The sequence below is a fragment of the Homo sapiens genome, chromosome X, assembly GCF_000001405.40.
Source record: "Homo sapiens chromosome X, GRCh38.p14 Primary Assembly".
In the NCBI taxonomy this organism is placed as follows: Eukaryota; Metazoa; Chordata; class Mammalia; order Primates; family Hominidae; genus Homo; species Homo sapiens.
The window spans coordinates 122,455,610-122,483,219 of record NC_000023.11 but is presented as its reverse complement, the minus strand read 5'-3'; the positions used below and the strand labels follow the sequence as shown (position 1 = coordinate 122,483,219).

General features: G+C 35.1%; 1 long non-coding RNA gene across 2 annotated transcripts in view; it reads right to left on the bottom strand.

Moving 5' to 3' along the window:
* Positions 1–5,138: 5,138 nt before the first annotated feature.
* Positions 5,139–27,610, bottom strand: part of LOC101928359 (uncharacterized) — a 56,076-nt gene continuing 33,604 nt past the window's right edge. The window contains exons 2-3 of one of the 2 annotated variants that reach the window (XR_001755950.2): positions 23,955–24,078; positions 5,139–6,218 (exon numbers count right to left, since the gene is read on the bottom strand). This is a non-coding gene — a long non-coding RNA (uncharacterized LOC101928359). The remainder of the gene's footprint in view (positions 6,219–23,954; positions 24,079–27,610) is intronic. The other variant, XR_001755951.2, reaches the window with a different exon arrangement.

The following is a 27,610-nucleotide window of genomic DNA, read 5'->3' as shown; positions in this document are numbered from 1 at the left end:
AAAGGGACAGAGTACAAAAGAGAGAAATTTTAAAGATGGGTGTCCGGGGGAGACATCACATGTTGGCAGGTTCCGTGATGCCCCCTGAACCGTAAAACCAGCAAGTTTTTATTAGTGATTTTCAAAAGGGGAGGGAGTGTACGAATAGGGTGTGGGTCACAGAGATTACATGCTTCACAAGGTAATAAGATATCACAAGGTAATAAGATATCACAAGGTAAATGGAGGCAGGGCGAGATCACAGGACCACAGGACCAGTGTGAAATTTAAATTGCTAGTGAAGTTTGACGCATGTATTGTCATTGATAACATCTTATCAGGAAACAGGGTTTGAGAGCAGACAACCGGTCTGACCAAAATTTATTAGGTGGGAATTTCCTCGTCCTAATAAACCTGGGAGCACTACAGGAGAATGGGGCTTATTTCATCCCTCTGCTATGACCGTAAAAGACAGCCGTCCCCAAAGCGGTCAGTTCAGAGGCCTCCCCTCAGGGACACATTCTCTTTCTCAGGGATGTTCCTTGCAGAGAAAAAGAATTCAGCGATATTTCTCCCATTTGCTTTTGAAAGAAGAGAAATATGGCTCTGTTGCACCTGGCTAACCGGCAGTCAGAGTTTAAGGTTATCTCCCTTGTTCCCTGAACATTGTTGTTATCCTGTTCTTTTTTCAAGATGCCCAGATTTCATATTGTTCAAACACACATGCTCTACAAACAATTTGTGCAGTTAACGCAATCATCACAGGGTCCTGAGGTGACATACATCCTCCTCAGCTTACGAAGATGACGGGATTAAGAGATTAAAGTAAAGACAGGCATAGGAAATCACAAGGGTATTGATTGGGGAAGTGATAAGTGTCCATGAAATCTTCACAATTTATGTTCAGAGATTGCAGTAAAGACAGGCATAAGAAATTATAAAAGTATTAATTTGGGGAACTAATAAATGTCCATGAAATCTTCACAATTTATGTTCTTCTGACATGGCTTCAGCTGGTCCCTCCATTTAGGGTCCCTGACTTCCTGCAAGAGTTTTAAATTTTAATTTCCTATTTTTTTATTTATAGTTCATAAAAATACTGGTGATATTTTTACATTGGTTTTTATCCTGCAAGCTTGCTAAACTTACTTATTAATTCTAGAACTAATATTTGTAGAACACACAGGTTTTCTACATTGGTGATTCTCTCATAAGAGAATAAGGAAAGTTTTACTTTCCCCTCTCCAATCTGAATGTCTTTAGTTTTTTTCTCTTGCCTCATTGCACTGGCTAGAACATTCAGTACAAGGTTGAATAGAAATGGTGTAAGCAGACACACTTGCTTTTTTCGTAATCTTAAGGGAAAATAATTTAGTCTTTCACCAGTAAGTATGATGGATGTTAGCTGTAAGTTTATCATAGATAACCTTTACATGTTGAGAAAATTTCCGTCTATTTTTAGTTTTGTTGAGAACTTTTTATTATAAATGGATGTATAGATGTTGGTTTTGACAAATACTTTGCATAAATTGAGATGATTGTGTCTTTTATTAATTCATTAACATAATGAATTACATTTAATTGATTTTGAATGTTAAACTAACCTGGCATTGCTAGACTGAACTCCATTGGGCTATAACATATTGTTTTTATTAAATATTGTTTTATTTAACTTGCTAAAGTTTTGTTAAAGGTTTTTTTATCCATACTCATGAAGATTACTGGTCCATAGTATTATTTTCTTGTAATATTTTATATGGTTTTGGTATTAGGTTAAAGTTGGACTCATAAAATGATTTGGAAGATATTTTCCCTTCTCAAATTTTCTGTTAAAGTTCTTGAAGAATTAATATTATTTCTTTTCAAAATATTTGATAGAATTCATTAGTGATTCTACATGGGGCCTGGTATTTGCTTTTTCAGAGGATATTTAATTATTAATACATTTCTTTAATAGATATGAAGATATTCAGGTTTTCTATTTTTATGAGTGACTTTTTGTTAGTTTCTGTCTTTCAAAAGATTCACCCATTTCATCTAAGTTTTAAAATTTATTGTCATAATATTCTGTTATTATTTTAATATCCATAGAATCTATAGTCATGTCATCTCTGTCATTTCTCATATTGATATTTTGTCATTTTTTTCCATTTCTTGGCTAGTTGTTTATTAATCTCAATAAAACTAATTTTAGTTTCATTGATTTTCTAAATTTCTGTTTTCTTTTTCACTAATTCCTCTTTTGATCTTTATTGTTTATTTTCTTCCTTTATCTCTGGGTTTAATTTGCCCTTCTTTTTTTGTTAAAAATAGAGGCTGAACTAATTTACACTCCCACCAACAGTGTAAAAGCATTTCTGTTTCTCCACATCCTCTCCAGCACCTGTTGTTTCCTGACTACTTAACGATCCCCATTCTAACTGGCATGAGATGGTATCTCATAGTGGTTTTGATTTGCTTTTCTCTAATGACCAGTGATGATGAGCTTTTTTTGTTTGTTTTTTCGTTGGTAACATAAATGTCTTCTTTTGAGAAGTGTCTGTTCATATCCTTCACCCAATTTTGATGCAGTTTCTTCCATGTAGATTCTGGATCTACAGAATCCAGAATCCTTTGTCAGATGAATAGATTGCAAAAATTTTTTCCCATTCTGTAGGTTGCCTGTTCACTCTGATGATAGTTTCTTTTGCTGTGCAGAAGCTCTTTAGTTTAATTAGCAACCATTGTGGAAGACAGTGTGGCGATTCTCAAGGATCTAGAACCAGAAATACTATTTGACCCAGCAATTCCATTACTGGGTATATACCCAAAGGATTATAAATCATTCTACTATAAAGACAAATGTGCACATATGTTTATTGCAGCACTATTCACAATAGCAAAAACTTGGAACCAACCCAAATGCCCATCGATGATAGACTGGTTAAAGAAAATGTGGCACATATATACCATAGAATACTTTGCAGCCATAAAAAAGGATGTTTTCATGTCCTTGGGTGAAGCTGGAAACCATCTTGCTCAGCCAACTAACAGAGGAACAGAAAACCAAACACCGCATGTTCTCACTCATAAGTGGGAGTTGTCAATGAGAACACATGGACACAGGGAGGGAACATCACACACTGGGGCCTGTTGGGGGTGGGGGTAGGGGAGGGATAGCATTAGGAGAAATACCTAATGTAGATGACAGGTTGATGGGTACAGCAAACCACCATGATATGTGTACGCCTATGTAACAAACGTGCACATTCTGCACATGTATCCCAGAACTTAAAGTATAATGAAAAAAATGTAGAAGCTGATGTCATTTACTTGAGAATCTTCTTTTCTAATACATGTGCTTAGTGCAATAATTTTTCTGCTGCATATTGTTTTGTGTTTTACAAAATATATATATTATACAAATATCACTTTTCCATTTGTTGGGAATCTAAAAAGGTGATTCTTAAACTGAATGTGTACAGTGCTAATGCAAAGAGAACACAAAACAAAGGCTGAACATTAGAAATAATTTTAAACTTCAATTTTATTAATGACAAATAATTTAAAAGGACACATAATGGCATAGCATGAAATATTTTAAGGTATTTTTACCGGATAAAACATATGATTTCAAGAAATCATGTCCTTTGCAGCAACATGGATGCAGTTGGAGGTCATTTTCCTAAGTGAATTAAGGCAGGAACAGAAAGGCAAATACTACACGTTCTCACTTATAAGTGGGAACTAAACATTGAACACACATGCATATAAACATGGGAACAATAGACACTGCAGACTAGTAGAGGAGGAATGGCGGAGGGAAACATGGGTTGAAAAACTACTTAACCCGTACTGTGCTCACTACTTGGTGGGAGCATCTGTATCACTACCTGGTAGCATCTCACTACCTGGTGGTGGGATCTATATTCCAAACCTCAGCATCATGCAATATTTCCATATAACAAACCTGCACATGTACCCCTATATCTAAAATAAAATTAAACTAATCTTTAAGGAAGAAATTTTATGCTGATGGTAAGCCACCTTGCTCTAATTCATCCAAACTCTTTGGAGGGTCTGTTTTATTCTCCTTTATTGCCAGAAATGCATTATCAAAAATTCGTGATAAGCACAGAACTATATGATATAATAGAGGTATACACAGAGGCCAGCAGAGAAAGCATGCGTGGAAAAAACATGGAAGACTTCACAGAGCAATAAAATGGCATGTGTATTGGAGAATTAATAAGAGTTCATGGAGGACATATGGGGTGTGGTTGTAATATAAATGTGTACTTTGTTGGAAAAGCTTTCTGCGACAGAATTGGGAGATCACTGAAACCTGTGGGGAAGTAGAGGTTATAGGGCTGATGTAGTTTAAGGCCAATGAGGCAGAATAATCCCTGCTCTAAGCATAGGAATATGGACTATATAACAGAACTCACAAGAGGAAATATGATGAGTATCTGCTGAATAAGTCATTGCTGAAATCCTTTCCTTAAACCTTGTGCTTCAGGACTTACATGTAGCTTCTTATTTGTGAAGCAACACATCCTGTCTGATTTTTTTGGATAGTGCTAAACTTGACTGAAATTCTGACTATAAACGATCAAGAGTAGAAAAATGATTTAAAAAATAGTTGCAAATACTATGTCAGTACTTTAACAGAAAATGCTAATGTCTATTTAAATAGTTTGGTATATTGTACATATTTTTAAAAGATTATCTAAATTTTATCCTCATAAAATCCAGGAAAAAAACAGCATTTTTTTTTTTTTTTTTTTTTTTGAGACAGTCTCGCTCTGTCGCCCAGGCTGGAGTGCAGTGGCGTGCTCGGCTCACTGCAGGCTCCGCCTTCCGGGTTCACGCCATTCTCCTGCCTCAGCCTCCCGAGTAGCTGGGACTACAGGCACCTGCCACCACGCCCGGCTAATTATGTTTTTGTATTTTTTTAGTAGAAACAGGGTTTCACCGTGTTAGCTAGGATGGTCTCGATCTCCTGATCTCGTGATCCGCCCGCCTGGCCTCCCAAAGTGCTGGGATTACAGGCGTGAGCCACCACGCCCGGCCAAAAAATAGCACTTTTTGTAGTGGTTTCTTTGAAATGGTGAAAGTATTTAGGCTAAGCATTTTAATCGGTTGTAGAGGTAGGGCTAAGAAATAAAAAAGAACACAGATCAGGAATAATGAGACATCTATCAGATTGTCTCATGGATTTTTTTTTAGTTTTACAAATAATCTTTATTGAAAATGGAAGAGTTCCAATCTCTTTACCCCAAGGATTTACCAGCAAGTTTAGCAATTAGAACTTGATGTAATAGATGCTGTTTTAATGGATTATGGTCTATGAGTTTTCTAAATTTTGAGCAGCTATACGAAATGAAAAAGGTTCAGTAGTGAGGCTTTTCTTTTTTGTTCTAGCAGCTGAATATTGGAACAATTTTGGGTTTGCTGCAGTGCTTCAGTCCCTTCTCTGCTATCATTTGCTATTATGTCAGAATAGCTTTGAGTTTCCTTCACAAAGCTCTGTTGGGACATGTATTCAAATCATTTCTGCGCATTACAAATTACTTCACAACATCAAGAAGTGACAATGCTGTGATTCCTTTTCTAGAGTAGGCATGATCTAAATTTATTGGGGAAAGGGGTCCTATGTGAACGATGTATTTTGATAGGCAAAGAGAACCAATGATTAATTTTCATTGTGCCCATAATGCCCCCCCAACCTGCTTAAGTAACAACTTGCTTCCTATCTTGCTAGACTTCGAGGTCTTTAGGTAAACAATCTTATACTCTCTCACTGGAAAAGAGTCAAAGAAAATAGAGAGAGATGATTAAATGCACAATTTTCTGAGATAAGTAGGAAAGTCAATACAACAGCAAGCATAGAAGACTTTCCAGGTTGCAGATGAAATATTGTCCATTTAAATTTTTTACTCTGGGTTTTCTCTTGCTTTGTATCTGGAGTGCTGATGGAGTAAGAGAATACCAGTTGATGATCAATGATTGTCTTTAGACTTCAAGCTATATCTGAGGAACTCTTTTTAAGTAAATTATTTCTGGAGTTCAATTTCAAAGGCAACGGAATTCCTTTCTCCGTTTATATGCTTTGATTTACTTTGTGTTCTGCTTTGTTATTTTGAAGGGAAAATGTCCTCTTGGTGTAGAGTTCCTTTTACTGTGCTATCTTATGAAGTTTGCAGAAGGGTTTATTGCTTTTTCTAGAGCACAATAAAGTTCAACTATCATACTTCTACCTGCAAAATAAAAGGAAAAAAAATTACTACACATACACAGTCTCTGAGAGTCAGCCAGACCTTAACAAGAAATATATGCCCATCAGGGCAACCCATTAGATTTTACTTTTTTTTTTTTTTTAAGAGATGCACTCATTCTCAACCTCTTTTGAAGGGGGAAAAGAAAATAATTCACTCGGTCAGTTTTGCACACAAAGGAGAAAACTTTCTGCCAACCCCGTCACTTGAGCATGAGAAATGACTCTTGTTATACATAGATAACAAATGTCAAATTTAGAATAAATTGAATAGAACACTAAGGTCCCTGAGATTGGCATTTCAGGGGAATGCACAGGTCTAGGCATACAGAGAAGTGGACAAAAAAAAAAATAAGAGAAACAATTGGAGGATATGCATGAAAGGTCATGTAGAAGAGCCTACTAAAAATAGGTGCACAATATAGGTTGGTCATTATGGGGGCAAGTTAGAGAGAGGGGCATCATCCATCACTGTGGAAACATAGGAATTGGTTTAATGATCCATTTAAATGGATTTGTGATTTAGAAAGTGGCATTAACTTGCATTTGAATAAAAACATGCACAATAAGTGATAGAACAAGGACAGAAGGACCTGGCTTCTATGAATAGAGGTAATCTCTTTCCCCGTCCTTTTTTGCCAAATTTAATTTAGGTAAAGAGAACTGAATTCAGTCAGATAATGAGAGATAATTTTGATGAATTCTTGGAAATTATTTTTAAACTTTCTTAGAAATAACCTTTGAGGAGAGCAACATTGAGCAGAGAAAAATTAAACACTCCAAATTCTAATTTCTCTTTTGCCACTAATTAGCTAACACTATCTTTGCCAACTTTTCAGGCCTCAATTTCTCCATTTATGAAAAGAGAATTTCTAAGGCGATTTCTAAATTCCCTTTCTATTATTACATTTTATTGCCCTCCACAAATATTTACTGAATACCTGCTAATCCTGGAGCCAGATTGCTTGAATTCAAATCTTGCTTGCAACTTGTAAGTTGTGTGACCTCGAATCAAGTTTAACTTATCTGTGCTTTGGTTCCTTGATCTATTATATAATTCCAATAACTATATGATAGAGTTGTTATTGAAGATGAAATGAGTTAATATATTTAAAGTGCTTATAAAAGTTTCTGGCATACAGTATGCTTTACTAAAGTTTAGTTATTAATATATCAAATGCTGTGTTAAGTGTTGGGGAATAAGAATAGTTAAGAGATTAATTGTGTCTTCAAGGAATGTGCAGTCTGTGGGAGCAACTCAGAAAGGTAAACAAAGACTGATGGGACCAAATCTACCTGAAAGTTCAGGAAAGCCTTCACAGAGGAGATAACATTTTGAAATAAGCCTTAAAGGTTTAAAAATTTACCAATGGGGAGGAAGATTAAAAGGTATTCCAAGTTAAGGGGATGATGAGAAGAGGCACACAGACATGCCAGTGAATGGTAGGAAGTTCTAAGGTATATGACTCATATGCAAGCTACACAAAACAAAGTATTTGAGTATTTGACTGATTCATTAGTCACTGTCCAATGTTGAATACCTCAACTGAACAATTCTTGTACCCAGCAAAGTCTTATAACTCTCTGGTTTGTCTAGGAATAAGTTGATTTCTAGTGTGTTCTAAACAGTTGGTTAAGTGTGGTTAAGGTCAGCAGACAGAAAGCCTTTACATAAAGTGACACTTTCTATACTATGCCCCTTTGGGCATGATAAGCATTTACAGTGTCATGGCCTACCCATTATACACAATGCCTTCCACCACACCTGGTATCTTGTTTAGTCCAACCAAGTCAGCTCTGACTAGCGAAAAAGTCCCTTGATCTTTTTCTTTTCAGCTTTACTGAGGTATAATTGAAAAATAAAAATTGTATATATTTAATGTGTATGATGTGATGTTTTGCTATACATATACATTGTGTAATGATTATCACAGTCAAGTTAATTAACATATCTATCACCTCATATAATTATCTTAATTTGTGGTGAGAATACTTAAGATCTCTTCTCTCAGCAAATATCGAGTATACAACATATTATTATTAACTATAGTCACCAGGCTGTGCATTCGGTTTTCAGAACTTACTCATTTTATCACTGCACAATTGTACCCTTTGACCATCTTTCTGTTTCCTCCACCCTGTGACTCCTGGTAACCACCTTCTACTGTTGGCTTCTATGAGTTCCACTTCTTTAGATTCCAAGTATGAGATCATGTAGTATTTCTCTTTCTGTGTCTAGATCATTTCACTTACCATAATGTCCTCCAGGTTCATTCATGTTTTTACAACTTGATTTTAATAGTCTCAATCCACAAGCTGATGGGGGCCAGGAATTAAACGTCATCCATATGCCTTACTTTCCTTGTTTAGCAGCACAATTCCCCTAAGGGAGCCATATTTACTCTTTTACTCCATGACCTATAGTAACCAACTCACATTTACTGAGGATGAGACAATACATGGGAGTCACGGCACTGTTGTCCATTATCTTTTTCATATTTGCTATCAAGCTACTGTGACTTACCATTTATATCAGACCTCCCCTGATACAAAAGCTTGACCAAACCACAGGCAGATCTCCCATACTTCTATGCTTTATATGCATTTATATGAACCAAGTATCTTTCCCATAATCCCTATCTCATAAAGTTGCAGATGTCCCCACCTTCTCTGATGACAAGGTGCTGAAGTTCCGACTGGCTATGTGGCTTATGCCATTTGAATAATGATCATAGAAGAACTAAAGGTAGATATTTTTGCTATGAAATGTGAAAGAAATGAATATGAGTCATATTAAAAGGGATTGTATAGACTAATCATCATTAGAAAGAGGTAAACGGAAATAATATTTGGACTTGTATCTAGCAAATTCCAGCAGATTTTCAGTGTTTTGCTCTACAGTATCTTTTAATATGATATATGCCAAAGATGTAGGCTAAAATATAGTATACAGTTATCCAAGGATCATATGCTTGAATTCTAATACTTATTCCTAATAACCCAACTGGTTTTGAAAATTTTAGTTTTGGGTGCCTATATAGCAGCTTGCAGATTCAAAGTGTATTATTTTCCAAATTTGGCCCATTGGTGACCTAACCACCATATATTCTGTGAAAAACAACTCAGGCCCCAGTACTCTTGTTTATCTGTCTTGGAAGGAAATCAATCTATAAATCATCTGCTAAAAATATCCTGCCTCCCCAACATTTTGGCACATGGTGATGTCTGTAGAACTTAGCTATGTCTCCTTTAAGTCATTGAAAATGTTCAAATACAAATGTGCTTTTGCTGAAATGTCTTTTGTCAGATGTAAGTGATGAGATCAACATTTGTGAGTCTTTACAGTTTAGCTTTCATGCCTTTACTAAATGATCTCCAAACATCACTGATGGAATATATTGCATTATGTATCTTAAAACATTGATATTTTATTTATTAAACATTTAAATAGTTTTAAATGACTGTGTTTACACTCTGGATTTAAAAATTTGGAAATATTATCTTAAATAAGTTACAATGTATTGACTAAATAATCTGGCAGATGCTGGAACAACTTAACCTTCAGGACAGATGGAAATCATGTTTAAATCCATAAAAAAAAAAAGCTAAGTGAGGCGATAGATATGTTAATTAGCTTGATTTAATCATGCCACATTGTATACATATACTAAAACATCACATTGTATCCCATAGATGTATACTATTATGATTTATCAATCAAAAATAATATTAACCATAATTTTTAAGGAAAAATCCAGAGATCAGTAAATGTCGGTGGTTCTTTCATATATATCCCTTGGATGCATATCCATAGGACCCAGTTTCTCTTGCACAAGTTACATAATAGAATAAAGCAGGACAAAGGAAAAAACATTGTTATCTTCATTTAATTCTAGGTCACTTAATATGAAAAGTGCCATTTGATTCCATTTTGCATATTTAATTTTTACTTTAAGACACAATTTTCAGTTTTACCTCCTATTTTCACTGCAATTCATGTGAATTGATAGTTTCTCTCTCTTTTATTCTATTTAATTTTTTTCTTTGCTGTTTCTACTTTAAGCTCTATGCTCCAGTCTGGCTGGTTTCCTGTCAGTTCCTGGGACACATGATGCTCATTTGTGTGTCAAGGCCTTCAGTTCCTCAGAGAGGCCTTTTGTAGCCTCAAAACTGGTTTAGAGCCACGATAGCACCAGTATTTACAATTTTTAATATTCCTCACATCTATTTTACTTATTCAGTGTCAGTCTTCTCCACAGCCTAAGGTTTGTGAAGTCAGAACTCATATTTAATTTGTTCACTACTATAGTCTCAGTATCCTCAGTGCTTAGCATATAGTTAATGAGTTTCTGGAAACCTTTCCAGGAAACCCTTCCAGGTTAATCTCTTCAGACACTTAGCAGTTGTAGCAATGGTTTCTTTAGGTGTTATGTATGGTACGGATTATATAAGTTTCCATTTGCTTGTCATTGGCCCTGTAGACATCAAATTTTTGCCATAGAAATGGTTTTATCTTCCCAAACTAGACTAGAGCCCACTGATGGATAGAATAAAGTCTAATTCTTTGATATTACCTGTCTTGGCAATCATCATGCTCTGACTTAGTTGAAAGTAAGTGCTGTTGTATGAAGATACGCAGAAACAGGAATACCTCTAAATATAGAGATAGTCTTGTTTTCTTGTCCAAGTTGTGTTGAGTCCTATTCTGGACTGAAATTGGAATGATTACTTTTCCTGCACTAGTGTACATCAAACATTTGAATTAGGAGGCAGAATAAATATGTTTAATTTCAAGAAACTAACTACAATTTCATTTATAACGTATATATGTAGGCGTAAGTTAACTTCTTTCAAAATTATTCCTGCTCAAAAACGTTTAAAATGATGAGAGGTAAATTGGTTTCACATTTGTTGCTTCACAAGCGTACAGAATATTGTAATCATTGGATTTATTTGCTACCGAAGGATGAGAATTCAGACTTAAGCAAATCCCATAGGAGAATATTTAAAAATTCATTTTGTTTCTTATTAAGATTCAGGCATATGTTACTTTACTTTGATGCACACACACACACACACACACACACACACACACACACACACGGGAAGAGAGAGAGAGAGAGAGAGAGAGAGAGATTCAACTTGCATGCTCTATTCTCTGGCCCTGTTGGCCTAATATTAGGTTGGCACAAAAGTAATTGCGGTTTTTGCCATTTAAAGTAATGGCAAAAACCACAATAATTTTTGCACCAACCTAGTAGTTCCTGAAAAAACAAGGAGATTACAGAGTTAGTAGTAGTTAAATGTGTAGGTTGATTATACTCTATTTCCAGGTAAATCTTAAGTGAAGACACAAGCCCTTTCTCACCGACACCTCCATAGGAACTAATATTCAGCCTAGACTTACGGTGCCAGATTTTGTACTTTTAATATAGTTGGTATGTGGTAATGTTTTGTTTAATTTATGAAGTTAATAATGCTGTGATGGCCATGAAAAAAATATAAACTATTGAAGCATAGTATCCTGGATCGGAAATTTTAATGGCCATTGTGTAGCAATAAATCAGATGAACTATATAGAGCTGTTACATGCTTGTTTTAGCTAAAAATATTGTTTTGGTTCTGCCACAATTTTTCCCAATATCTTCTGTTTATTTGCTTACTGCTGTAAATTAATTTAAATCTGAAGGTAACATACGGTTTTTGAGTCATGGCCAGAGGATTATAACTTCTTACATATCTAAGGAATTATACTTATCTATTGTCATTTTCTTCTTCTCCAGACTTAGAAGATTGCTCTGCAAAGAGTAGGCTCTCCCTACAGCAGTGGTTCCCAAACATCACTGTGGTTTTCACCTAAAGTGTGGGTCAAGAATCTGCATTTTATGAATTTCTTCTCTCAGGTGATTCTTATGTAGATGTCCCATGGGCCCCCTTTTAAGAAATATTGCAATAATATTTGATACCTGGCTGATGAAAGAGGAAGACAATTTGACAACAGCTTGGCAAAACCTAAAAAGTTTAGGATTTTGATAAGTAAAAATTTAAGCTCTGTTAAAAACAATGCAAATTCACTGTAGTGAAGACAAGTTGAACCAGATACGGCAGAGGATGTTTGAGGACTTACTCTGCTGTCAACACATTTTCTCCAATAAGAGAACACAATTATCTGGTACTGATGCTTCAACAATGGTGATACGTAAAAAGAGAGGCAAAAAAATCATGTAAAACATTCAGTAGTCCTTGTTACATGGAAGAGCAGAGTACTATGAGATAGATTAAGACCTACTGGTCTGTTTTCCTAAAAATTTTATATGGGCTTAATTTGTTTGTTTGTTACAGACCACTTAACTAAATTTATGAACTAAGGGAGGTGCCTGAGAGGCGCATCTGGGAGCTTTGCAAAGTTTCAACTATATTTTTAAACAGTACTGGGGCAGGGAGAATCTAGCTAACACCAATTATGCAATATGTGCATAATGTGTTAATTCTAAGATGTACTTCTGTACTGATTAGCCATAAAATATGCATTAATTTGTCTTGAATTATATCTGAGCAGGAAAGAAACAATCTTGAAAAAAGCATCTGTTTAAAAACTTTTTCAACCATTTTAGTAATGGAATATAGGATTTTAAATATGTTGGGTAACCTTTTTGTGCACATTTTAGAAAATAAAAAATGATGGGGCAACACAATTATTTACCCAATGGCATAAAATAACATTGAAGATTTGTTTATAGAAACCATATCAAAGTGATATTAGAATAACTTGTGTTAGTAGGCAAGGAAATTTTATAATTGTACTGTGATTCTGTAGTGCCCACATCAGCAATTGAAAATGATAATATCCATTTGAACTCCGCTACTGTGGTTACTTGTAGCATTGTCCCCCTTCCCCTTCCTTGGCCCTACGGGAAAAAATGTGTGGGATGTACAAGGTCACTCTATTGCAATATGTGAAATCACTAGTTATAAATTCCCTGGGAAAGAATTCAAAAGGCCTGTGTTCTCATCCAGACTCTACCACTAATAGATCAGCGTAATTTGTCACTTCGTTTTCTAGGCTTCAGTTTCCTCATATGTCAAATGTGGATAATTCCTGCTTTATCTTTTTTATAACACTTTATTTAAAATTGTTCTGAACTAAATATTTCTGTAGATGCTCATACTGGTTCTGAGAGATAGGTCAGATAGAGTCTATACCATAGAAAAGAGTTACTGCAAGGAAAGGCAGTCTGGGCTTAACTAAGCCTTGCTATCAGACATGAATTAAGATTATACTTACCATGCAACTTAAACTACAATTCAGATCATTGGCATAGGGATAGGTGAGGTATTCTGAGAGAGAAAAACATCCTGTTTAAGATATTGTGGTAACTGAGAGGTAGCATTTCGAATTTTTGTCATAATAAAATGTGTCAGGAAAAGATATGTTTTTTCTTTAGGAGCAATTTCTTGACATAAAACAGGGAAAACTATCTGGCATGAATGAAAAAGCTGTTGCTATTAACTTCTAGAACTACTCTGTCCTATATGGTAGCCACTAGCCACATATGGATATTTAAATTTAAATTAATTAAAATAAAATAAAAATTAAATCTCTCATAGTATCCATATTTTAAGTGTTCAATAGCCACTGTTGTCCTATTTTGGACAACACAGACATAAAACATTTCTATAATCACAGAAAGTTCTATTAGACCGCACTGCTCTGTAGTAATAGCTAACCAAGAAAAGCAATTGGAAAAAAAAGTTACCCTAATAATTATTGTTGCTTTTTGGGCAATATAAACTCTCAGAGTTTCTTTCTTTAAACATTTCCCTTTTCGTCTTATTCCTATCTCATCTAACATCGCCTCCCACCCTTACTCTGTTAACATCTTGGCTTAGACCTTAGATAAATGTTACAGAAACAATCAATCTGTATTGGTGAAAACGAAGGAAACATAAATCATTGATTATGCTTTAATCCCCAAAGAAAAACTCAATAGGAAGAAAACCACTGTTTTGCCTATTTTGTTTCAGTCTAGAGAAATGAGCTGGAAGCCTGGAGGGTGGATTTTTTTCTTCTTTCCCTCTGTCTTCTTATCTAGCAAATGCTTATGTCAAATTAAATAACCTCTAGGCATCCTTGCTGCTGTGATTTTTAACCTGAAATTCACTGACTGTTTTATAGGCAGGGTTAACAAGGATTCTTTTCTGAGAAGCTGAACTAACAGTGTCGGAAAGGTTTTCCAACTCTAGGATTCTAAGAGGGATTTTTAGGTTTTCCCATCATTTTGGTTCTTTTTTGGTACCCATGTGTCCATTGACTCCAACTTTTCTACTAACCACAAATTTAAAATAAATAATTCCATATTGCAATTTGGGGAATCTGGGTGTTTTATATAAGCCTCACAGTAACCACAAAGAAAAAGCCTCTAGTAGATACACTAAAGATAAAGAGAAAGGAATCAAAGCATTTCACTACAAAAATTCAACAAATCACAGAGACAGCAAAATTAGCCAAACCATTTCTGAAACCATGTTCTTCAAAGAACAAACAAAGATGAGTTTTAGAGCCACACATTTTTAGTTTGAACTACTAAAAACTTCAAAGGAGCTATTTAGAAAAAAGAGGAGTAGGGAAACAAAAAAAAAAAATTTATAGGAGAGAGAAACCAAAAGGAATTGATAATACATGCATATAAAAGTTAAGGTTGTGTTTGTTGTAAGTTGTTAGGGGCAGAAGTGGGGTAGTGAAGAGGATTAAACCAACAACCACAGTAGTGAGACTGAAAACTTTAGGAACGCCCTCTGATCTATCGGAAAAACAGGAGCATTTAGCTCCTACTTAGGGCAAAGAAGAATATGGTATAATTGGATCCTTAATGAAAGAACAAAAGAGGATGAGAAAATCAAAAGATGATATAACATTTGAAGAATTCCCAAGAGGTGGTTTAGAGACTGAACCCATGGCAACCCACAAAAGCTGCTTGGAAAATCTTTCTGGCGCTACATTTCTACAATTATCTCCAATAGGCTGGTAATAGTACTGACTGTGGGACAAGAAACCTAGATTTCACACTCAGCTTTGTCACTACTAAATGATTGAAATAGGTCTGTTCACTTCCCTTCTTTGGGATAATTTACCCTATATGTAAAAGGATGGTTTTCAATTCGTGGACCAGATGATCACTAAGGTTTCTTTTTTCTTTTTTCTTTTTTTTTTTTTTTTTTTTTTGAGACAGAGTCTCGTTCTGTTGCCCAGGCTGGAGTGCAGTGGCGTGGTCTTTCTTTGCCCACTGCAACCTCTGCCTCCCGGGTTCAAGTGATTCTCTTGCCTCAGCCTCCCGAGTAGCAGGGATTACAGGTGCCTGCCACCATGCCTGGCTAATATTTTGTATTTTTAGTAGAGATGGGGTTTCACCACGTTGGCCAGGCTGGGCTCTAACTCCTGACCTCATGATCCGCCTGCCTTGGCCTCCCAAAGCACTGGGATTACAGGTGTGAGCCACCGCGCCCAGCCCGATAACTAAGGTTTCTTGCACTGCTACAATTATCTAATTTGTTGAGGAACATCATGACAATAATGATGATAGCTACCATTTATTGCCTGCTTATTATATGATATGGAGTGTTCAAAATGCTTCATATGAATCTAGTGCTCATTTAGTGATCGTTACACAGTGAGGTAGAAATTATTATAACCACTATTGTTATATGCAAAAATATGATACCTCAGAGATAATAGATATATTGTCCAAATTACCAGCTGGTAAAGCCAGGATTTGAACTCCAATCTATCTGGTTGTAGAGATCAAGTTCTTAAGAACTACATTGCTTTGCCACCTAAAAAGTGAAGTAATATAAATTTCAGTACATATTGAACCCATGAGGAAAATGCCATTTCTTTGTATTTTCTCTTACTTTGAAGTCTCTCCAAAAACTTCCAACCTTCAAGAATCTTTGACGTCATAATCATTATTTACTGCATGTTTTCTTTGTCATAGGCATTGTGCTAGGTGCTTTATATAAATAAATTAATTATCAGGCAGCCCTATGAAATTTGCACGATTATTATTCCTTTTCTATGGATGAGAAAACTGAGACACCAAATTTGGCAACCTAATTGAGGTCACACAAATGAGAATTTACAGGTAAATTCAAACCCAGTTTTGCCTGACTTCAAACAAAACCGCTTTTTACTGATTTCAGGTTCTATATTCTTAGACTTAAATATAGAGATTGATACAGAAAAACCTCACCAAGAAAAAACAGACACACAGACACATCAACATACTCTTCAATTACTCACACAGCTATTTGGAGGATGTCAATATGCTTGAAATTCTACAACATCTGGCACTGAAGCCAACAGGAAATGAGGATGAACGAGAAAAAACACATTTTGGATCATTGAGTGGGTTTGTGTTGCCCTCACAGCACTGTGTACTCTTTAATTTGGTCAGCCGTTTTTCTATTTCAGAAGCTATAGAACAGTTGGTGCATATTTGCCTAACTTTGGCTTCTCATGAATAATTAATAATTTCTGCCAGTGTTTGTCAGTGAAAATCAAGTCTTGTTCCCTCTTAGTGTAGGAGCCTAGTACATCAAACATTTAGGGAACATAGGTCAAAAGAACACAAGGAAATATGAAATACTCAATATGTTATATTGAGGAAAAATACATTCCTAGCAAAGAATGAGGCATAAGAGGATCCAATTTCTCCCCAAAAGTACTACATATTCTCAAAATGCAGTTCAAGTAAGACTTTTCTTTTACTCTGGGTAAATTTACCTGTTTAGATGCAGTAGAGGTACTCTGTTAATAAAGGCTGTATTGAATACATTTCTGTTAATTGAATTCTATTTTCTCATAAATGTTTCTATAAAATTGATTACTTGTTTATCTGAAGCCAACAGAATATATATATATTAAATATATATATTAAAAATATATATATTAAAAATATATATTAAATATATATATTAAAAATATATATTAAATATATATATTAAAAATATATATTAAATATATATTAAAAGTATATATATTAAATATATATATTAAAAGTATATATATTAAATATATATATTAAAAATATATATATTAAATATATATTAAATATATATATATTAAATATATATATTAAAAATTTATATATTAAATATATATATTAAAAATTTATATATTAAATATATATATATTAAAAATATATATATGTGTGTATGTGTGCCTCAATAAATTTAGTAATAAATAAATTTTAGTTTAAGGAAGTAAATAAGTTTTTCATAACCATTTTGATACTCCAGTGATGTTGTATTGCATTTGATCAATTTTGAATATTTGATCAACTTAAGCACCTGCTTTTCCCTAGTATTGAAATTCCTTTGTTGCTTGACCCTAAATGTAGTTTTCAGAGGTTTCCCTCATTTAGAGGTATATACAATGTCTCCTAAAGTCCAATGACCACATTCATCTTTACAAGTGGAAGTTTTCACCTCTTTTATAAGATTATTTTGCTGTGGAGTCCATAGTTATATTTAATAACCAAGTATACTTTTTATTATAGTTGCCAAACCACATTGAAAATATACTTGCTTTCAGTAAGAGATCCTATACTTTACTTCCAAGAATTAGGTTGCATGTAGACAAAATTATCATAAGACAAAGAAACACAAATATGAAGTGTCTTGGAGGCTTGCTTCTCTGCAGAGGGCTTTTGTATGAAGTACGAGCATATTGCCTTATGAAGGTAAATATCTACTCCTTGAATAAGTAAGACCAGTCCTATTTCACATATCAGTAGCTAAATTCTTTTGTAAAATTGTGTTTGATAGTTGAAAGTTGGAGAGAGGAGGGAAAGACAATTTAAATCCATGACTAAATACCACCAAATAACTGTTTTATATAGTGAAAAATCAGCTGGGCTCACAGGCCCCTAAAGCTGGAAGGAAAACATGTACATCTGTTATGTAGCAATAAAAATAAAATGTTTAAAAAGTAAAAGCTGAAAGAAATCTTTGAAATTAGTTTGATTTTTTAAAATTTATCACTGAAGAAAATGAAGGCCATAGAAGAAAAATGACCTGACTAGGTAGCTAGTGGTAGAACCAGCACTTAAATGAGGTTGGCACTGTACACACCAGACAATGCACTGATAAACTAGATTTCAAACTATGGTTGAGATATCAAGTATACGTGCAGATTGGGACGATGTTCCAACCACAGAAACTTCATATTGTTGGCTTTATTTTAAGAAAAATTCCATGGGCCAGAGGGCACTGAGATTTATTCTGTATTGTGCTGAAGGAGAACGAATTAGGTTTCAGTAGAAGTGATTTAAATGGTAGGTTTTCATTTCACAGTTGATCACAGCAAAGACAGAGACCATTTGGTGCCTTTTTCAATGTCTGCCAAAAGTTACTTCGTGTCTCAAATACTGATTCTTTCATTGATGTGCAGACAGAATTTAGTCCCCAAGGAAGCTGGTGGAGTTGGTTGAATGCCAGAGTTGGTTTATTTCTTTGGTGAAATTAAACTGTTCTTGTACTTTTAAATAGCACTTGATTTCCTTATTTTCTAAAATAAATTTGTTTTCTATGGATGAACCGATAAAGCTTGTGTTTTAATTAATTATGTTCCTATATTACATATAGGAACGTAATTCCCCCTTTTATACTTTGGCACTCAAATAACTCCTAAATGCCAATGTAGAAAATAGATTTAAAATTGCCTAAAATTAGTGAACTGAGCAGATTTCTATATAGGATAAACTGTAAGAAAAATAGTGTTATGAAAAGAGTTGCCCTTTGATATTTCTCTTTTCTAATCTCAAGCAGTAAAATATCAGTAAAAAAAAAGTCAGTCTGGACAAAATCTCCATTAAAACCTTAGACCTCAGCTCTCTCTCTCTTCAGATCCTCTCCAAAACACTGTAAGTAGGTACAATTGAAAGTATATTGGTGCAGAGAGGAAGAACTGCAGAGACACAACAACTAGGATATAAAAAGAAAGGTAATTCATCTTGAGAGTATGACCATTCCAGTGCATTTTAGACATTGGATTTTTGCAATCCTTTTGGATGAATACTTTTTGGAGACTGAGTAATTCCCAAAATTTATTTTAAAATCATCCCACAATTAGAAACTTGAATCAAGTGACATGACAGCTCACTTTAAATTAGAAGAAAATCCTCTGTATTTTTGATGCTCTTTGAACAAAAATATACTGATCTATGTATGGATTTTCTAAAGTAAGTTTCACTAGATTTAAAGTAAGGTAATTCACAATTTCATAATTGATTGCAAATGACAAGAACAGAGGTCAGGCTGGGAATACAGCAAACCATCTGTATAATGTATACTGGGTTGGGCTTTTGAGTTGATTCGAAGTTCCGTATTTCCTTCATCAGCCTATCCTGTTATACAATTAAGGGGTACAGAATAGAACAGTGTTCACATATATAAAGTAGACTTGGAATCTCTAACACTCTCATTCAAGGATTGGATAGTTAGTCCCCATTCCCAAAGTAGTCAATGGGGAGCCAGAAACTATTAAGTCTGTACATTAGAAAATTATAAAAGTGACATGCAAATGCATAAAGGCCAACTCCACACTGAAGAGGGCACAGAGCTAAGACTTGCTCAGTCTAAGTCAAGAAATTAGGCTAAACAAAACCAAACTAAATCACATTTGGCCAAGATCTAAAAATAATGCCATTCATTGCTAATGTTCTCACCAATCTTGTTTTATATTGCAGCATTTGGTTAACTACAAAGCAGTATACCATTTATGAATGCAGCCTTGAGAACACTTTTGCTTTGCTCGCTCTTGCAAAGAGGAAAACTCAGGCAATTGTCTATATTATTAATGACATAAAATAGACCTGTTCACCTTAAACATCAAAATAATCAAAGTCAATGATATTTACTTGATTCTTCCGAAGATGTTGCTAGTATAGAAATAGTCTTGGAGACGTTTATGAAACCATCTGTCTTAATCAAAAGCTATTATGATCTATTCAATCCAATCTTAAAGAGTATCCTTCTTATAAAAACACCTGCAATGCACTTTGGGAAATTTCAATGTTAAAAAGTAGAGAATTCAGGAAATCCCAGCTGCAATATGAAGTGATTCAATGTATTTCAGAAAAGCAAAATAGAAAATCTAGAAAATTTAAAAAGAGGTATTGATGCCATAGATGACTACATTTGGTGCAAAAATGCAATTACAGTATCCATTCATTTAAGGATAATTTTAATTCAAATGCTTTCTTCAAAACTGTCTGCAAGTGTAAATTAGCACAGCCATTATGAAAAACAGTATGGGGGTTCCTCAAAAAATTAAAAATAAAACTACCATATGATCCAGCAATCCCATTTCTGGGTATATATCCAAAGAAAATGAAATCAGGATCTCTAAAACATATTTGCACCCCCATGTTTATTGCAGCCCTATACACAATAGCCAAGACACAGAGTCAACCTAAATGACCATAAACAGATTAATTGATAAAGAAAATGTGGTATATATGCACAATGGAATACTATTCAGCCATAAAAAGAAATGAAATCCTGTCATTTGTGACAACAAGGATGAACCTGGAGGACATTATATTAAATGAAATAAGTCAGGCCCAGAGAAATAAATACTGCATGATCTCACTCATTTGTGGAATCTAGAAAAGTTGATCTCATAGAAGTAGAGAGTAGAATGCTGTGTACTAGAAGCTAGGCTGGTTGGGAGGAGAGATAGGGAGATATTGGTCAAGGAATACGTAACTACGGTTAAATTAGAGAAATAAATTTCAAGAGATCTATTGTATAATAAGGTGACTATAGTTAATAATGTTATAGTGTATTAAGATGTAAAGAGAATGGATGCTATGTGATGTTACACAAAAATGATAGCTGTGTGAGATATTGCACCATTCCACAATATATATACTTCAAAACATCATGTTGTACGTGATAAAAACACACAATATTATTGACCAATTAAAATGATAATAATAACAAATTGTCTGCCCCCTCTCCCTCTTGAGATTCTACTTATGTGTTTTGGACTTGTTGAATCTCATCTAAGCATGCTTTATATTTCCTAACATATGGTAACATATGATAAGCATCCAAAAATTGTTTGTTGACCTGAAGTGTAGTTTAAGAAAATTTTCAAACTATTTTGTATGGGAAACAAATGAGGCTTTAGGAATTTAATTTCTGGGTCTAAGTCAAATGTATTAATGCATTTATATCTGCATGGTAGTTGCAAATAACTACTCAATCCAACAAATGAAAATTAACCAGCAAGGTCTTGACAGCTCCAAGGATATGGACATAAATAATATGTTTCAGCATATTGGCAGCACTAACCCATTTGTAACCCAGTCCAATCTAAATTGGAGGAAAAATAATTTAGGTTGTTCATAATTACTATAGAAGGGTATTCTCTGACTTCAGATGAGTAGAAACAAAGACAGTCTTTCATGCTGAGTAGACAGATAACCATGACTGAAATTACCCATAGTACTTGCACCACTAAGATGTAAGTAATTGTGCTCAGAAAAAAATTGATAGCAAATAGACCTACATAAGGATACACAATACTTGTAGGTTGAAATGGTTGAGAGGGAGAAATAGTGCATACACCTAGTTGTATTGGTATAGTTTAAGTCTGGCTACATGTAGAAGTGACCTAAATTATAGTAGTTTAAATGTGACAGAGTTATTTCTCTCTCATGTGAAACCAGTGTTGAGGTAGACCATTAAGGGATGGTGTGGCAGCTCCACCATCATCAGAACGCCAGACTTGTCCAGTTTTTATCAGTTTGATTCCGATGATATGGCCTTTATTTTTATGATTCAAGATGGCTACTGCTGCAGCAGTCATCATCTTCAGCTTTCAAACAGCAGGACGGAGGAAGAAAGCAAGCAAGCTATGTATCCCTCCATTATAAAGGCACCTCTGGAAGTCTCACACAGCATTTCCACTTACTTCTATTGGTGGAAACATATTTATATGCTACCTGCAGGTGCCAGGAAAACTGGAAAATACGGTCTTTTGGTGTGTACCTGTAAACATCAAGTTTCTGTTAATTTCAGTAGAGGAGAATACATAGTTGGTAGCTAACTAGCAATCTCTAAAAAGCCTACTTTGGGGACAATGAGCAAGTTAAGGAAAATCTTGCTTAACTGGAAACCAATTAGTTCTTTTGTTGTTTTGCATCCCTGACACCATCAACAGTTTTCATAGTTGGGCACCTTTTACTGATCACAAGTACCATATATGTCTTATTGACAACACATCTATTAGTAATTTTCATATTTACCAGAGAGTGAAAGATCGCATTGCTTAGGGAGTGCTGAATGTATTTCATTTATATTATATTATATTATATTATATTATATTATATTATACCGAATTAATTCAATTATTCTGTTTTCTGTAGGGAAGAGTTCTGAATAAGGTGGGATGATGTCTTGACTTCTGATATCACCATAAGCCTTTCTTAATAGATGATTTTACATACCTGGCTATTTTGGAATATGGCTCCTGAAGATAATATAGCTTATTTCCAGAACAGTTTCTATTAGGCTGTTTGTATATATAAATTATTGGGGGAAAAATACCTTCTCCAAGTGAAAGAAATGATCATTCCAGTTAGGGGAAGGCAAAGTGAAGAAAATAGGGAGTGTGTAATACTGAGCCTGTTTTTAGATAGCTGCCTTCTGCTTCCTTTCACATTTTTCCTCCTCTGCTTTCTTCTTTGTCATAGCTACTTTCTCCAGGCTCCTGCAGGGCTTGGCCTTTTCTATTTTAATGCTAAAAGAAACAAGAGCAGTGGAGTGTGCTACATGACGTATTTGGAAAGGTGGTAAATATTTAATAGATGGTATGGTAAATAATGTATATAATTTTGCAAGAAACAATGTAAATATTTCATGGACTGCAGTGCAGCTGTTAGGCTGAAATTAAACTTGTGAGCCTGGAGAAAAGCTGCAGTTCAAAATGTCCTCTTCTGATGAGAGCACTTGCTTCTCTGGTATCACTAGTCCGCAACCTTGGAGAAGTGGTTGGCACTTAAGGTGTAGTCATATCTTGGATATCCCCTGATAGGAAGTGGTGATAAGAGTAACTCAAGATAGTGAATAATTCAAATGCCAATTAGACTTTGGGGTAAAATTTGGGGTATTTGAGAAGTGGATTTCTTTTTTAATTACATTATTCTTAGGAGGATGTTGAATAAATTTTATTATCCTATATATTCATGGACTATCGGATGCTATCCCATGATGAGTTTGCCACATATGATCCACTGTTAGTAAACACAAGAGTGTCTGTGCTGTCCTTTCTTCTCTCTGAACTTTGTTGGTAATCAACCGATTTCTATAAGGAAATTAATGCATCTCTCTGGCCTACCTGGAAAATAGCAGAAGAACTAAACAAAATCCAGAAGCAGGGACATCATAAAGGCCAAGTTGAAAATGTAGTTGTTTATATGCTATCAACCTTCTGCTGGGTATGTGTTATATCGCTAGCACTGTAATAAGTGCAATGGAAGATATAAACATTATGTCAGAAATGTCCTCTTGCCTAAGAAAGTTATAATTGGAGAGACAAAGTTAATTCATAAGAAACAATTCAAAACCAATTAAATAATAAACAGTGTCTTTTTAATAATAACTCTAGTATTATGAAATGCACTGAATTCACCGCAAATTCATGTTACTTAACTTGAGGTAGGCACTCTCTGCTGCTCTGCAGACATTTTTAGTCATATCTTGTCCCGGTATCACATTTCTCTAGAAGTGGCGGTCCTGACCTTGTCCAATATTCCCTTCTCCATCCACATTCCTTGCTGTAATTAGATGGCTTTAGTCATATTTTTTTCTGAGGCAATTAAAGGTATTTTCTTTTCAATCTTAACATGTCTACATATGTCTTCAATTATTTTCTTCTCCTCCCTCCTCTCTTAGAGGCAGAAGTAACTTTTTTTCCAAGGTGAAAATTTCTTACATAGGGAAGGCTATTCCTTCCTACTCCATCAGAAGTGTGGCCCTTCAATTATCCTTTCTTTATTTGTGTCTTCATTCTCTTGCCTTCATTTGTTTAAAGTTTTTCTGTACATGCAGTCAACTTTCCTTATGATACTAAAGTGAGATGATGATGATGATGATGATATTTATCATTTATTGAACATCCAGGTCTAAGCACTATGCTAGGCTCTAGGCTGAGACTCAGCCTCCTTAGGCATTTGGTGTGCTCATTGGTACTAGAGTATCCTTGCTTCTAGGCCCTCTTAATGGACAGAGCTAGGGAACATAAGTATATATATACTTACCCATGTACATCTTTATTTCTATAGCTATGTGTTTATATGTTTAAAATGCTGAATTCATACTGATTCTAATCCAATATCACAAGGTTCATTCCAGCCTTTCTTGTTTCCTCATTTGTAATTCATTCAAAGACAGTGAGAAAATTGATTCTCCTTCTTCACAATGTATTAACTGATTTGCTTAATCTTGGAACATGTATAAATTTGTTTAAGAATTGCTAACCCTTTGCTCCTATGAAAAGTCAACCTACTTATTTGGAGTACAATATTTGTTTACCATTCTGTATGTCTTTAACCTGAGGCTGTAGAGTCAAAATAGTATCTTCAAGAATTACTTGGGTAAATTACCATCTCCCTACCTACCTTCAATGTGATTATGCTTATGTTATTTATGTGACAAACAGTCTAATTTATTTCTGCTTGTACTTCATTTCCAAGTCTCTCTCCCATCCTTGTTAAATGTATGTATGTATATATTTTTTGTTTATGTTTTCATATATCTACTTATTTATTAGTATGTAAAACATGAGCCTGGTTGCAAAAATTAAAACTATTCAGAAAGATATACTTAGAAAAGTCTAACTTGCACCCAATCCCTTCTAACTCATTCCTATCTACCATTCTTTCTTTTATCTTTATTCGCCCCTCATAAGTAACTAATCCTTTTAGTTTCTAACTTATCTTTCCTATTTTTTTCTAAAAATGAGCAGATATCTGTGCACAATGTTCTGTTACTTTCATGTAATTATTACACAAAAGTAGCATAACATAGATACTCTTGGCACTTAAGTTTTTCATTTAATAATATATCCTGAATGTTACTCCATAGCAGTTTATCTATTCTTCTTCATTCTTTTTTGCTGTTGCATAACAACCCATTATGTGGATGCGCCATAATGTATTCAACCATTGTCTTAAGTGAGGTCATTTAGGATGTTTTCAGCATTATGTATTTCAAAACATTGCTGCCTCAAATAACCTTGTGTATTTTTGTACTGTTGAAAGTATATTTTCTGAGTAAATTCCTAGAAGACGAACTGATGGCTTGAATGATAAACCCATGTATATTTTTGTTAGATATCGTCCAATTCCCCTTCATAAGAGTTATAGCAATTTGTATTCCCACCAGAATGTGAATCTGTACGTATGAGTGCATATTTCCTCACAGCCTCACTAATAGAATGAGTTGTCATACATTTTTAAATAATGTTTTTGCATATTTTAGAAGAGTTATAAAATGTACACAATAATTGTGAAGATAGTGCAGAAAATTCTCATATACTTCACACCCAGTTTTCCCTAGTGACAGTTAATATTGAATGTCAGCTTGATTAGATTGAAGGAAGCAAAACATTGTTCCTAGGTATGTCTGGGAGGGTGTTACCAAAGGAGATTAACAATTGAGTCAGTGGACTGGGAGAGGCAGATCCACCCTCAATCTGGGTTGTCACTATCTCATAATAATCTGCTGCCAGCATGGCTAGAATAAAGCAGGCAAAAGAATGTGGAAGGACTTGTCTTGCACAGTCTTCCAGCCTCCATATTTCTCTCGTGCTGGATACTTCCTGCCCTCCAACATTAAACTCTAAGTTCTTCAGCTTTTGGACTCTTGGACTTACACCAGTGATTGGCCAGGGGCTCTTGGGCCATCGGCCACAGACTGAAGCCCGCACTGTCAGCTTCCCTACTTTTGAGGTTTTGGGACATGTACTGTCTTTTTTGTTCCTCACCTTGCAGATGGCCTATTGTGGGACTTTACCTTGTGATCCTGTGAGGCAATACTCCTTAATAAACTCCCCTTCATATATACATCTATTACTTTATCTGTCCCTTTAGAGAACCCTGATTAATACAGATTTTGGTACTGGGAGTCATTCTAAAGGAAGAGAATTTTAAGGATGGATTTCTTTAGTTGGTTTTGGGTTTTCTGGAGTTGGCCACTTAACGTGATTAGACCCCAAAATGCTAAGAACTCTACTTCTAATAGTATGGAGAACACTGATAGTCTTTGGCATGAACTGTTTAGAGTGTTATGTAAAATAAATGCATTTGATACTCCTGATTCACCGCTGGTGAGAGGCAAGAAGTTTAGTGGCTCTATACACAATACCTTTGGCCCTATGTGGAGAACCAAGGAATATAATGAAGTTAGTTGGTTGCACCTAGGTTTGCTGGACAAAGTGAAGAAAGAAAAGGATGAGCTCAGGGATAATAACTCCCAGCTCCAGAAGCACCTACTGAGCCTCAATTCTTTCTAAGGTTACCCTGAGCGAGAGTCTTATCTCCTGTAGATAAAGGGAAAAAATTACAGAAAATCAAACACAAGCTCTTATCATGAGAGTGGCTGACCTGCAACAAAAGGTGCATGATCAGCCTCAGGAGGTGTCTACTGTTAAAGTGAGGGCATTGATTAGAAAAGAATGGGACCCTGCAACTTGGAATGGAGATGTATGGGAGGACCCTGATAAGGCTGTGGGCACTGAGCTCCTAAATTCTGATAAGCCTTATTTGCCAGAGGAAACAGCCTCGTCACACCCAGTGGTGGCAACATCCCTTCCCCCGTCCAGGCTGCCATCAGCCTTTGCACCTTTGTCTGAGGAGATTAACCATGCACTGCCTGAAGCAACATGATGGCCTCCCCTGAGGCAGTTGCCAAGCAAGGCAATGCTGATCCTCCTCAGGATCTGCCCCCCAACACCCTTGTTTGCTTCTTGACCTATAACTAAAGTCCCAGCAGGCCCCTAGAGGTGAAACACAGAGTGTGACCCACAAGGAGGTACACTACACTCCAAAAGAATTGCTTGAATTTTCTCATTTATATGAGCAGAAATCTGGAGAACAGGCATGGGAATGGATATTAAAGGTGTGGGATAATGGTGGAAGGAACAAAAGTTGGATCAGGCTGAATGTATTGATATGGGCCCACTAAGCAGGGATCCTGCATTTAATGTTGCAGCTCAGGGATTTAAAAAAGGTTCTAATAGTTTATTTGCTTGGTTAGCTGAAATATGGATCAAAAGATGGTCCATGTGAGCGAGCTGAAAATGCCTGA